Source organism: Homo sapiens, chromosome 9 (assembly GCF_000001405.40).
Source record: "Homo sapiens chromosome 9, GRCh38.p14 Primary Assembly".
NCBI lineage: Eukaryota > Metazoa > Chordata > Mammalia > Primates > Hominidae > Homo > Homo sapiens.
The window spans coordinates 67,856,899-67,870,930 of record NC_000009.12 but is presented as its reverse complement, the minus strand read 5'-3'; the positions used below and the strand labels follow the sequence as shown (position 1 = coordinate 67,870,930).

Sequence of the window (14,032 nt, the reverse complement as noted above, 5' to 3'; positions counted from 1 at the left end):
AATGAACTCTAGTTAGCTGGATATCATGCAAAGTGTCCTGCACTCAGAGTAAGTCCTTGCTCTGTAACCAAAATACCTCGCTCTGTAGGTATTTTGTCTTCAGACAAGTTGCTTCTCTTAGGCTCCATGGTTTCTTCTAAAAAACAAGGATTCTGCTACCTTACTTCACTAGGTTGTTTGGAAGATGTAATGAGATTACATGTTTATATGTTCAGAGAAATAGTAAAGCAATGGAATAATTTATTCTTGAACTTTATTGCTGAAACCATTTTGGAATCCCAAATAATGCTCGGTGTGTGTTTTTCTGTAAGTTCTAATACTCAAATGTTGCAGTTTTCAGAAAATGTTATTAAGTGCTAATTTTGGTTATTACTTGTATTCATTGTGGCTTGTAATTCAGGGCATTTTACCTAATTCATAACTTATTACTAAATTTCTATATATATAAATTTAGTGAGCTCATCACTGAGCTCTTCAATCACACCAAGGGCAGAAAACTAATAGGTGTCAAAACCTGGCTTGGACAACTACCACTCCTTCTCTACCTCCTCAAACTCTGAGCCAGCAGATCTGTGCTTGGCTGCTGGATCTCCATGGTCCTCTCCAACTAACAGACAAGACAAAACCCTGCTTTGATTGTTTTTCAGTTCCATGAAGGAAATACAAGTTGACATTTTCTCATTTCCAAGACATGTACTAACAACATGTAACATCCCCTTATTACTCAGCTCTGTTCCCATTTCAGAGATCACCATACATCAATAGTTTCATAGCGATAATCACAATTTCAATATTGCGTGTCACCTGTTTTGGTTTTGCTCACACTGCTTCCTTGGAGCTACTCAACAAATAGTCAAATGGCCTTCCTGGGACTAGGCAAAATATGGAATGTTTTCTGAATTTGTGTGCCATCCCTAGGCAGTAGCCATGCTTATCTGCTCTGTATTGATCCAATTTTAAAATATGTGCTGTTGAAATAAGTACAAAGCCCTGTTTGATACATGGATATTCATGAGTCATGGATGAGGCTTAGCTCTATTAAATCCAACTCACTTACTTCAGATTCAGAGAATTTTATTGAATGGCTTCCTGTGAGGTAGAATTTTAAAATATATTGAAAACTTGAGGAAGAGCTGCAAGTAGCCCAGGAGATTTTCATGATTATAGAGACACATTACTTGAGGGGCCAACTGCAAGCTGGTTCCCACTACTCAGTGGAAAGATAACATGGAACATTCCGCTATCTAACCAAAGCTGCTGCACAGGATATAAAAAAGCCTCAAGGTACAGATCTGATAGCAAAAGAGACAGGGAACTCTGATCTCTTCCTGCAACATTATTTGAACATCCCTGACTATTGAGAACAATCCCAACTAATATTGGTTAAAGGAAAGACAAACATGGCTCTCAAAGGATAACATACCATGAAGGCCTAGGCAAAGTCTAGCTAAGACGTGGGCTCCAAATAAGGTTTTTAGTGTAGGGTGAGCATCAACTTGCTCAATATTTGTGTGGATAAAGCTAGGAGGCCTAGCTGCCAGAGCAGGGTGCTGGGAACAATGACTGAGCACAAGTACATAAACTAATAAACACCGTAGCTTTGACCTCTATATATGAATCACCATGAAAACTGAGGGGTCTGAATCAGTGAAGGCATCCTGGTGGCAAAGGTCAATCATTATCAGATTGCAGGACCGGTTATAATGGCAATAATACAGCAAGTGAGTCCATGGAAACAACAGAATGATTAGAATGGCCTTTTTTCCCCTTCTTCTGACTTGTAAAGAAAGATTGCCTTCCTTGGACTTAGGAAACCCCTTAGCTTCTTGGAAAATTCAAAGAAGGAAGACACAGGAGAGAGCCCCAGGGGACAATACAAGATTTTCTGTTAAACTGGACATTACAAGACTCAATAACTAATTAGAAAAGTAAGGCCAGGCATGGTGGCTAGCACTTTCAGAGGCCGAGGCAGGGGGATTACTTGACCTCAAAAGTTCAAGACCAGCCAGGGCAACAGAGTGAGACCTTGTCTCTACAAAAAAAAAAAAAAAAAGGAAAGGAAAGGAAAAGAAATCAAAGACATGGCTCTTTTTATCCCATGCATGGGGATTATACTTAGAATAAAATGAATAACATTGAGATCCCTAGGGATAAATGTCTCAAAAATCCAGAAAAAATCTCGCACTCTACTTCTAACTAATCTAGACTTCTGCTTGATTTCTGGCTAAAAGGTAGACTAACTCTTCGCTATTTCCAACTATCTGAACCAAACTATGAACTCTCACCTAATGTATAAGATGGAGTAGTTGCAATTATTTTAAACTTCAATTTAGCATTAACTGGCCTTTTAACATAAACACTTACTTTGTCAAATGATGAGAAATAGCATAATCTTCTGCATCTCGTCCACACATGTCTTGAGCGAAGACATCAATATTTTGCTTAAGAAGGATATTGACAATACCTGGTGAGTCATAGTATACAGCAAGCATGAGAGCTGACCTAAAACAACAAAGAAATAACTCCACTCAAGAACTTTAATAAAGACTTTTTTAAAAAGCTAGTTTGATACACTTTACCAGTTTAATATCTGCCTGTCAGTATAGATGTAATAACCATTTGCATGTACTAGCTTGGGTCTATAAGCATCTAGGGTGCTCAAGTGTTCATCTTTGTAAATTGTCACCAAGGCTAAAAGAAAGGGACAACAGGGAAGCCTCTTGTCCCACTGGGGTAAGACATAATACAAGTTGCTAACTTATAGTCCTTTGATGGCCAAGAAACTGTGCTGAGGTCACTTATCTAAAGTAGGCAAAGATTTAGATGAAGATTTCCCCGTTGCTTTCCTAGTCAAATCAGCTAGGGGTCAGATAAGAGTTATCTGCAGGCTGAAAACAACAACAACAACAATAATAATAATGACAATGCTAGTAGTCATAAACTAAAAGTCCGCACTTTAAAAATGAATAAAACTTGTCAGGTGCAGTGTCTCATGCCTGTAATCCCAGCACTTTGGGAAGCCAAGGAGAGCAGATCACGAGGTCAAGAGATCGAGACCATCCTGGCCAACATGGTGAAATCACATCTCTACTAAAAATACAAAAATTAGCTGGGCATGGTGGCGTGCACCTGTAGTCCCAGCTACTTGGGAGGCCGAGGCAGGAGAATCGCTTGAACCTGGCAGGTGGAGAATGCAGTGAGCTGAGATCACACCACTGCACTCCAGCCTGGCAACAGAGCAAGACTCCATCTCAAAAAAAAAAAAATTAATAAAACTAATACAAAACCCTTTAGCTAATAAAAGATTACAGTACCAAAAACATCTGATTATAAATACCAAACACTGTATATTATAAGAGAAGATGAATCCTACTATATACTATTCTTTATGTTACTCAGTCCAAATATTTGCTGGTCTACCTGATTATTCATGGTGATATTTTTCATTATATGCCAATAATTATGTTAATCTTCTTATTAATATTTCTGACTTGAGTGACCACTCTAGAATACTCAGGTTTTATTTTTAAAAAAAGAACTACTGTACCGTCTCAGCCTATCAACGGCATGTGAACTTGCTTTCTTTTTCAATAAAAATTCCACCATTTTCTCTTTCTTGCAAATTATAGCAAATAAAAGTGGGGTATTATTGTCCTATAAAACAGCAGAAAAAAATTAATAATTCACAAAATTACATATTTCTCAACTGAACTGAAAATCTTCTCTAGGATGCTTTGAACTTCAACATACAATACAGAAAGGAAGTAAATGAAAAGCATTCCCTTCATTCTCACTCCTCTGTGCTTTCTGATGTGCTGTGCTTTGCCTTGCAAACAACCCTCCTCTGTCTCCCCGGATTAACTGTGGTCATTGCCAAAACTCACTTTAAACATTTACTAGTCCCAAGAATCCTTGCTTTGATAACAGCACTTATCATGGTACATTGCAGTCATTTCACTGTTTCCCACTGAAACCAAGAGCTTCTTGAGGCAAGGGCCTAAAACCCTAAGACACAGTAGCAAATATTTTAAGTTTTTTACATTAATTAATGATCTAAATTACTATCTCTAAAGCAGTGTCTCTTAAACTATATTCCAAAGAATATTTGCTTTATCAGAAGTATTATACCGCAAGAGAAAGACTCCATGACCATCTGTATTTGAGAAGTATTACAAAACTGTATTTTATGTCCAATAATCAAGAAATCTCTTTAATTTCACCTAATCCCCTTTCACAATACTATTTGTGGCAAACATTAACATTTGAGGAATTAAGAGTTTCAGAGATACAGTTGCCAGAGCTTCCCAATACAGGTGGCAGTTCCCTCTGGGTGGTACAAACTTGCTTGATTCACTTCTATCAATGGTGTCAGGATCCCAGATGCCAATGTCAGGCACTCCTGCTCCAAATGGGTCACCATGGAAATGAGCTTTGAATTAAGACAGATTGGCTTCAAATGCATTTATTTTCCTTATTATTAAATAGTCCATGGGTTTTTCCCCTAATACAAGAGAAGAGATTTTTATCTTTACTGTTAGAAAGCTCAGTATATTCTGTGTAAGAGAGATAGGTTTAAAAAACTTAAGAACAAATATTTTAAAAACCAAAACTCAGTAAGAAATACTATTCTCAATTATAATGGTAATCCCGGGACCCTAGTGCAGCTCTACTTTTTAAATCCATTTTTACTGGCTTCCACTTAAATGGCTACTTAAAATTATTTTTTATTTTAGACAAAATATAAATCGGAAATAAAAACATAATGGTTTATCAATAGAAGTTCTCATACTGATCCATATGGATTATTTCTGGCATAATACAAGCCAATAAGTCACTTGCATCCTTAAGGAAGAGCACTGAGGAGAAAGATGTACTGTCTGCAATATTCATAAATTATCCAACTATAACCAGGAATAACCTAAAAAGGCTTCTAGGCATTCTTATGGGCAGAGAATTATTTGTGGTATATATAAAGAAAAGAGTTAAAAGCTTCTAAACTCTAAAATTCAACTCCATAACTGAGGGATTTATATACTCTATAGACTATATATTATAAACAAATACATGCTGACTTAAAAACCTTGAAATTTTTATCAAAATATACTATAACATAGGAGTTGTAAACTCAGATACTTACAAGGACAAAGGAAGGTTGCCTGAGTAAGGGAAGTACTAAGGTGGGCACAGTAGCAAACTGGAGAATACCTGCCTTCTATAAAGGGGCAACTTCTGCACAGCAGACCAAACAATGATAGAAACTCAGGGGACACCAGATTTGATTTTTTAGGATATGCCTGAAGTCCACATTTCTTCACGAGTCTTCTAAATTTTACATGTTGATTCAACTTATAGAGGCAAACAAACAAATCTGTGTACCACATTAGAATATAGCCCTTGTTTTTTTTATATTCGCTATTAATGTGTTACTAAATGGTTGTGTATAATCCAAGTATTTGCATGTAAAATATTTTCTTTCTCTGGTATCATATGTTCTACCAAAAATTCAGGCTCTCATATATAATAAAAATTGCTAAAAAGACTCACAATACCTGCTTCAAGAATTTTTCCAACATGTATTCATTTAAAATATGTTTGTATATAATTTTCCCAGATTGTTAACCAAATAGATAATTGGTTCACAAGACTGCTAAAACTAAATTATTAAAAGAATTCCTATCTATATTCTTATTAACTTCATGGATTTCAGTGTTTAAAACTGACATTTTGGGTATGCTAAAGTTCTATAAACTTAACAAACATACTGAGATAGTTCATAATAAAACTTCAACTAAAAAAAATAGTTTAGGATTTGCTACTATTCTAATTGAGAAAGCCAAACTTGTAATGAACATTTGTTGACACATAATCACCTGCGTGGTGACAAAGGGACATGAAATCATGAAAGGGTCAGCCTCTACCTATTGAAAGATTACTCATAAGCAAATTTCTGAAGACTCTCTGAATGGTAGTGAATGATTCATGGTGGGAAGCAAAACATGTTATTCTGCAAGCTGAGAGATATTGCCAATGATATTTCCTTTCACTTCCCAGTCACAGATGTAGAGAAAGACAGATAAGTCAGGCTAATATAATTGAAAAGGAGAATTTTGAAGGAAGTGGCAACTATCAAATGCCAACTCTTCTAGAGATTTCTTACATTTTTGAGATACAGAAATTTATATATTGCACTTATCTATTCTGGGGTTTTTAATCAAGAGTGTATCCCAACCTTGAAGGTTTTTTGTTTTTTTGGGGTTTTTTTTTTTTTTTTTGGCTATTATTGTTGTTAGAGACAAGAGTCTCACTATGTTGCTCAAGCTGGATTCAAACTCTTAGGCTCAAGCTGGGACTACAGGAATACACCACTGTGCCCAGCTTCAAGAAAACATTTTTAAACACGTTCAGGCCTTATTAGGTCTATTACATCAAAATCTTCAGGGGAAAGCCTACAATTGTAGATTTTTAACAAAATGTCCTCAGGTCACTGTAATGCACAATTCTGAGAATCAGTGCAGCAGACAATCACTTCAGTCTCACCTCTCACCCACATGGCTAATTCCTTTATCAGTTGGAGATGTGGCCAAAAAGAGAAAAGAGTAAGAGATAGTGTCATTTATTAAAACTCCAGTTAAGTTTCCTGGCTATGGGTAGAACAGGGACAAGTAAACTCAAAATCCCACTTGATTTTGCTATTTACAAGCTCCTTATCTCCCACCTTCCCACTAAGACATTCTAGATTTGAGAGGAGGCTTTAGGTTCTTATCTAAGTGGCTGTTTCTGCCAGGATGAGCAATAAGTCAGTTAATAATTTGTTCCACCTTCTGCTGAAGTGTTTCTCACTTCGTCACCACATATTCACTGCCAATCTGGTTTCCTCAGAGTCCTCCTAAAATTCATCTCTAGGCAAGTTGCAACTCATTCTTTTTCAAACCAAAAATTATTAGACCCAAAGCTAAACAGCACCTTGTCTCAACACATAAAACAAACTTAAAAACAAAAAAAAACCTCTTCCTGGCATTTTCCCTCATTATCTAATATCCAAGTGACCTGCATATTTCTGATTGCTCTCTTTCTCCCCTCCCATTTTTCCCTCTTAAGCCTTGCCACTGAAAGATGATACATCAGTTTTTCAGAAAATTAGCAGCAACAGCAACATGTCCCTTTATTGTAAGTTGCTTTAGTTTTGTTTGAGTTTTAAGATAAAGCCTATTTCCGGGGAATATTTTATTTCCTGTGTTGTTTTACACTAATTAAGAAAAAAAAAAAAAAAGAATAAGCCTGTGTAGAAAAAAAGTTGAAAAGGTTTTACCTTTAACAAATTCACAAATATTTTCCAAAGTGCATTTTATAAAGCTGTGCCCTTTAATGCTTCTTTAAAAATATCAATATTTAAAATAAAATCTTAGACAAGTTATTTCAAAATAACTTAATTTGTATTTGCATTCAGGGAATGGTTGATCTTCCAAATATAAAAAATTGACCCTTACCTATGTCAATGTTAAAACAAATATTTTGGAAAGAAAGTTGATTGACCTATACCTTGTCCAGTGCTTCAATATGTGCACCATGGGAAAGCAGTTTTTCTGCCAGTGAGGTGCTCTCACTATACACGGCATAATGGAGAGCAGTGTTGCCGTAGATATCCTTAAGGTTTGGATTGGCGCCATGTTCCAGCAGAATAACGGCACAAGCCTCTTCCTGGCAATGGACAGCCTGTCCGTGTTAGACCAAGAAACAGATTGTAAATTCCAAGAATTCAAAATACACATTCCACAGGTTTCACCAACTAGTTATATGTAAATGAGATCAATTTATTTTAATTCTATATATGTAAATCAAATCCATGTCATGCTAAAAGAGTTGGCTCTAATATACCTGTATCAAAGGCGTTCTGTTTTCTTTGTCACAGACATCAATCTGGCATTTTCTGTTAACCAGGAGAGTGACCACTTGCACATGGCCACTGGTACAGGCCAAGTGTAGAGCAGTTCTATGAGAGTAAGAGGATTTTTTAAGAAACTGTAGTACAATATCTCAAAACATACAATCATTCATGTAATGTAAAAACTGAATAGCATGTTTTTCCTCTGCCTTCAAAACAAATAAATTTTTTGAAGAAAGTACAATACTTACTAGCTCTTATTGCTCACTGCCTTAATGAAAACAGCAGCCTATTTGAGTAGAAAGAGCTCAGTCTTTGGATTCGGTTCAACTAGGGCTTGAGTCCTACTTTAAGCCTTGACACTTACCAACTATTGCTTAGCCTTTCTGTACCTCAACTTCCTCATTAATAAAGATGACAATAGTAGCTATCTCATAGGACACCATCGTGATGCTTAAATGAGAAGCTATGTAAAGTATGTAGAACAGTTCCTACGACAACTCAATAATTGTAAGATTTTTGTTTTTTGAGACAAAGTCTCACTCTTTTGCCCAGGCTGGAGTGCAATGGTGTAACTATACCTGGAACTCCTGGGTCAAATGATCCTCCATCCCCAGCCTCCTGAGTAGCTGGGACTACAGATGAGCACCAGCATGCCCAGCTATTTATTTAAAAATTTTTGTAGAGTAAGAATCTCACTTTGTTGCCCAGGCTGGTCTCAAACTCCTGGCATCAAGCAATCCTCTCACCTCAGCCTCCCAAAGTTCTGGGATTACAGGTGTGAGCCACTGCACCCAGCCAGATATTATAATTATTACTATTACTACTACTTAACAAAACCATTTTAATTAGGTAGAATGATACAATTATACCTACTTTGCAAGATGACTTAACGAGTAGGTCACATTTTAACACCTCTGACATTGGAATGCCACTTATAATTCATGATTTGTTATAACTATAATTGGTAGCATTTTAAAAATTATCTTATTGATATATAAAATATCGGGGCATCACGCAATCCATGAGACCTTACATTAAGTAGAATATGGTATACTCAGCAGGTCTAGGGCAGTTCTAGGCATGTAACTGAAACTTAAATACATTTTAGTTCTTAAAGGTACTATGGGGAAAGAGCACTGAAATAACAATAATGCATTTTTTAAACAAATTAATTCTTTGATTTTCAAACAACTTGAAACCAAAGGAAACTCATGATTCAAATGAATACATATGGCTCATTGTATTCAATATTTATACTTAGAAAATATATGCAAATAAGACTTTCCAATGATTAATATTAGTATTTAAGACTGATAAACTTTCGAAAGAGCAGTTAAAGGTTATCTTCTACTATTTTCTAACTTCAGAAATGCTTTTGTTTGAAAGGTGGGAGATAAAGTTTCAAGGAGATTAAGTCCCAATATTCCTATTTTAAATCTCTCAGCTTGTGCAGGTGGGGCAGGTAAACATGAAGTGTTTAAGGATGGACGGGTCCTGAGAGATGACAGAATATGTCTGCTACATAGCAGGTACTCAGGTTATGCTTGATCCATAAATGGAATGAAAGAATGGATAAATACAGTTGGGGAGTTCATTATTTTTAAATAAACTCCTATAAAGCAATATTTTTGCAATAGTAATTATTTATATGTGTTGTTTTATTTTTAAAGAACACAATTAAAATGAAATGATTATGTTTGCATAAATGGAATGAGTATATAAGCAAAACATATGTACATAATAAAATATATAGATAATAAAATCTGAAACAGATAAAAACATTCCCTTTTTACTTCTGAAGAGGCTAAAAGCTCAAAGAAGATAACAACACACACAATAATGATAAAGAATAGAAAGTGAGAAATTATTTTCATCAGCGCAAGATTCATATTCCTCTCTTCCCAAGGATTAGTCCATTAATAATAAACTTTTACTAGAAGTTTTGTACTCACTGCAGCAATCACAGATAAGAAAAAGGAAAAAAACTTTACTTAAAATACAAATGCTCAGAAATTACAAATTTTATATTTTGTACATATTTTTGCTAAAACAAGACCATAGTATGTTTGTGTATGTATAATTTAACTAATTTTTTTCTCCTTGCTAGCTATAACAAAATACATCTTTGCACATCAACGTACTTCTGTATCTACTGCCACCTTCAGTGGTCACATATTATTCCATCCTATGGATGCAACTGAAATTTATTTATAGGATCCATTCTATGGGTTCTCTTTAAAGTAAGTACTGTGAAAAATAAAGTGCATGTATCTTTATTTCCTAAGGGTATTTTAGTATAATGGAATTGGTGGGTAAAGGGCATACACATTTTTTAAATGTAGTACTTACCATTTTCAAATGAGTACTTTGAAAAGTAATCAGCAACTTTAAGCAGCAGTATAAAACATCCTCACAAATATTGTGGATAGAAAACTGTTTCATTCCTCTTTTAGTTTAAATTCTTATACCAGAAATGCGAAGGATTTTTTCCTATGTATATAAGTAACTTGTAGATCTGGAAAAAGGTACTTTGCCCACTTTTAGAGTGTTTGATGATTTGATTTGAAAGAATTCCCTGTAAAATGAAGAGGTACTTTTCATCTAATGTGTATATATAACTGATATATATAACATATGTGTTATATATGTATACATATCAGTAATATATATATATCTTATGATATATAATAAACAACATAGGCCAGGCGCGGTGGCTCACACCTGTAATCCCAGCGCTTTGGGAGGTGGAGGCGGGCAGATGACTTGAGGTCAGGAGTTCGAGACCAGCCTGGCCAACGTGGTGAAACTAAATATACAAAAATTAGCCAGGCATGCTGGCACCTGCCTGCAATCCCAGCTACTTGGGAGGCTGAAGTAGGAAAATTGCTTGAACCCGGCAGGCAGAGGTTGCAGTGAGCCAAGATTGTGCCATTGGACACCAGCCTGGGCAAAGAAGCGAGACTCTGACTCAAAAAAAAAAAAAAAAGAATATAATGAATTCCCTATAAAATGAAAACATACTTTTCATCTGAAAAAAAAATATATATATATAATATAGTAAATATTTTTCAAGTAAGCTCTCTTATCTGAGAACTTTTCGCCCACTGAAACAACTCACGGTTATTTTTGATAGGGGAACGAGTTCTCTCATTAGGCACCTCCTATAATGTATATAAACCATGTTTTAAACGTGTACGTTAAAAATAACAACGCTGTATATGCTTAACTTTGTGAGTTAAATCACTCAAATTCTCCAACTGCTCCAGCCAGGGAATTATGAGGGATGGAAAACAGCTGAGAGTCCGTTTGGCTCCGCCGCTCCGAGGGTGCCCGGCGCCCTGCAAGGCCCCGTCCCAGGGTCTGCGGGGAAGCCGGGCCTGGGGGCCCCCTCCCACCCCGGGCTGAGCCCCCGCTACCTGTGCTGCTTGTCCAGGGCGTCCAGGTCTCCGCTCCTGCGCGCCAGGCAGCGCTCCACCTCCGCGGCGTCGCCTTTGACAGCTGCCCTGTGGATCTTCTGCAGTTCGGAGTCCCGGATTCGGTATCCGGAACCCGTGTAGACGTGGTCTATGGAGCCCTGGGCCGTCTGGCCCCTGCGGCTCCCGAAGCCGAATAACTTCATATTGGTGACTTCTTCTCAGACCCCCAACCACCGGCTCTTGAGCGGGGGCAGCTCCCTGTCACCTTTTCACCACCCCCCTCCCCGACCCCGGCCGACCCAGCCCCAAATCCCCTATCCAACCCCAAAGCCCCGATCCAACCCCAACTCCGCTATTTCAAATCTATGGTCTACTCCACAATCCGCGATCCAGCCCGGTCCACCACAGCCTTCAGCAGCGACACTCGCAGCCTCCGACCTCTCAGACCGAGTGAGCCTCGCAAAGCCGTTGGGCGCGCGCCTGCACGGCAGTTGCTGCCGAGCTCCCAGAAGACGGTCCCTGGCGGAGCGCGCCTGCACCGCGGTTGCTGCCGGGCTCCCGGAAGACGCTCCCTGGCGGCGCGCGCCAGCAGGTGGGGCTGCAGCTCTGGGCGTGCGCCGATGGGCTCGCCGGTTCTCCTGGGATCGCCCGGGCGGCCCCAGGATCGCAGGCGCGCAGCCAGCCCGGCCTGAGAAAGAGGGCCTGTCTGGCCTTGCAGCCCGCCCCGCTCCTCCTCAGAAGGGAGATAGGGTGCTGGCAAGGGCACTCCGCGGCCACCTGAGTGGCTTCGCGGATTGGCTGAACGCTGAGGCTCTGGCCCTGAAGTCTGTGTGGCTAGTGTCAGGTAGCTGGAGAGGGATGGAGGCAGAGTCAGGGGCTGCTCCTTCCCCCACCCGCCCTCACTGCTGCCAGTGCCACACGCGCGGTTTGCAGCTGCAGATCTGGCACTGGCGCAGGATGGCGGAGCTTCCTTTGGATGGCCTCAGGGCCGCAGAGCGCACAGCCCACCTGGCCTCAAGGTCCGCTCCTCTTGGACATCTTTCTGGATCCTGGGCCCTGGCGCTGGGCACTCTGTGTCCACACGGATGAAACAGCGGCTGCTGGCGGGGCCGGTTGCCTGATTTTGCCGCCTGGGGGTCTGGCCTCAGGATCCACGCTACTGCGGGGCGGGCCTGGTCTGGAGTGTCCAGTCACTTGCTGCCGGTGCACCACGTCTAGACTGCAGCTGCGGCTCCGATGCCGGCGTGAGCTGGCGGGCCTGGTACCTGATGTCCTCAGGGTCAAGTGCATCGCCCTCCCACTTGAGAGGTTGCTCTGACTTGGCCTCCTCCAAGAACGCAGGGGCCGCCGGGACTGGCTCTTCGTGGTAACCGGGATGGTACCGAGCAGCAGGTTTTCACCCTGGTGCCACTGCTGTGCGGACTGCCTGACTTGGGCACCCAGGCACCCGCCCCAGGGTCCGCGCGGCAGGTGTGCAGGTAGGGTGAGTGGCGCGGAGGGTCGGGGGTTGCTCCGTCATCTCTGCCCGTGTGCAACTTGCAGTTTTGCAGTTTTCTGCAGCAGCCGAGGCGCTGGCGCGGGAAGGCGGAGCTCCCCTGGATGGCGTCAGGTTTGCGGGCACAGAGCACAGCCCACCAGGCCTGAAGGTCCGCTCAGGGGCCATAGTGGTTGAGTTCTCTGTGGAACTGGGATGGGGTGAACGGCCAGTTCCCGTCCTTTGGCCACCTGGCCAACTGCCAGACTTAACCGCTGCCGCCCAGGAATCTGTCTCTAGCGTAGCCACTACTTGGGTAGAAGTGGGGGTCGGGGTGGGGCGTGGAGCGTCACCGGTTGCCAGGCCAGCACTGTCTTTGCAACATATTCAGATGGCGGCGGGCAGCTCGGGCGCCAGCATGGGCTGGCGGGGCTCCCCTGGACGGCCCTCAGGTCGCTCACAGCATTGTCCCAGGACTTCCTCGGCCTGTGCCAGGTGGGCAAGGTACGGGGGTAGCTTCAAAGGCTTCTATCCCAACTCTACCTATTTCTACCTATTTTCTCTTGAGTTATTTTGCCTTTATCTCAGTTTTATTTGCAAAAATAGTATACGCAAAATACATCGAGTGAATGCACATCAGGCATATAGAAGATCTGGCAGAAACATGTTTTCTCCTGCCCATTTCCAGTCAGTATTTGAACACAGAGGCTTCCACGGTTTTGATTCTTTCCACAAAAGGTTAGTTTTGTCTGTTTTCACCATTTATGTAAGTGAAACTATAAATTATATAATTTTTATGTTCACTCACTAAACATGCTTGTGACACATCATTTTGCTCCTATTGATTATTCATTATTTTGTAATATTCAATTTTATGACTATACCACAGGTTTGAGGCCTTTGCTTGTTTTGTTTTTAATCCATTCCACTATTGATAGACACAAAAGCAGTTTCTGATTTGAGGCTATCATGAATAAACCTGCTACGAACAAATCAGATATACATATTTTTTTCTGTAATAATATTTTCACTTTTCTTGAGTTTAAGTACATAAGAGTGGATTTTCTGGGTTATAAAATAAGTATATATTTGGCATTGTATGAAATGGGGAGACATTTTCCTAAGTGGTTATGCCATCTTAAACTACAATGAAAATGAGAGAATCAGTTCCACTTTCTAACCAATACTTGACGCTGTCAGTTGTTTTAGTATTATCCATTCTTATGGGATATAACTGCTGAGTAGCTGTCTGCCTTC

The 14,032-nt window shown here is 40.1% G+C and overlaps 1 protein-coding gene and 1 pseudogene across 1 annotated transcript in view; both read right to left on the bottom strand.

Moving 5' to 3' along the window:
• ANKRD20A1 (ankyrin repeat domain 20 family member A1) overlaps positions 1–12,000 on the bottom strand; it is a 43,464-nt gene extending 31,464 nt beyond the window's left edge. Inside the window, exons 1-5 of the mRNA NM_032250.5 lie at positions 11,302–12,000; positions 7,876–7,990; positions 7,540–7,713; positions 3,548–3,654; positions 2,365–2,502 (exon numbers count right to left, since the gene is read on the bottom strand). Of these exons, the coding sequence (NP_115626.2) occupies positions 2,365–2,502; positions 3,548–3,654; positions 7,540–7,713; positions 7,876–7,990; positions 11,302–11,504 (737 nt within the window). The 5' untranslated portion in view covers positions 11,505–12,000. The remainder of the gene's footprint in view (positions 1–2,364; positions 2,503–3,547; positions 3,655–7,539; positions 7,714–7,875; positions 7,991–11,301) is intronic.
• On the bottom strand, positions 878–984 carry RNU6-368P (RNA, U6 small nuclear 368, pseudogene; annotated as a pseudogene).
• Positions 12,001–14,032: the final 2,032 nt, after the last annotated feature.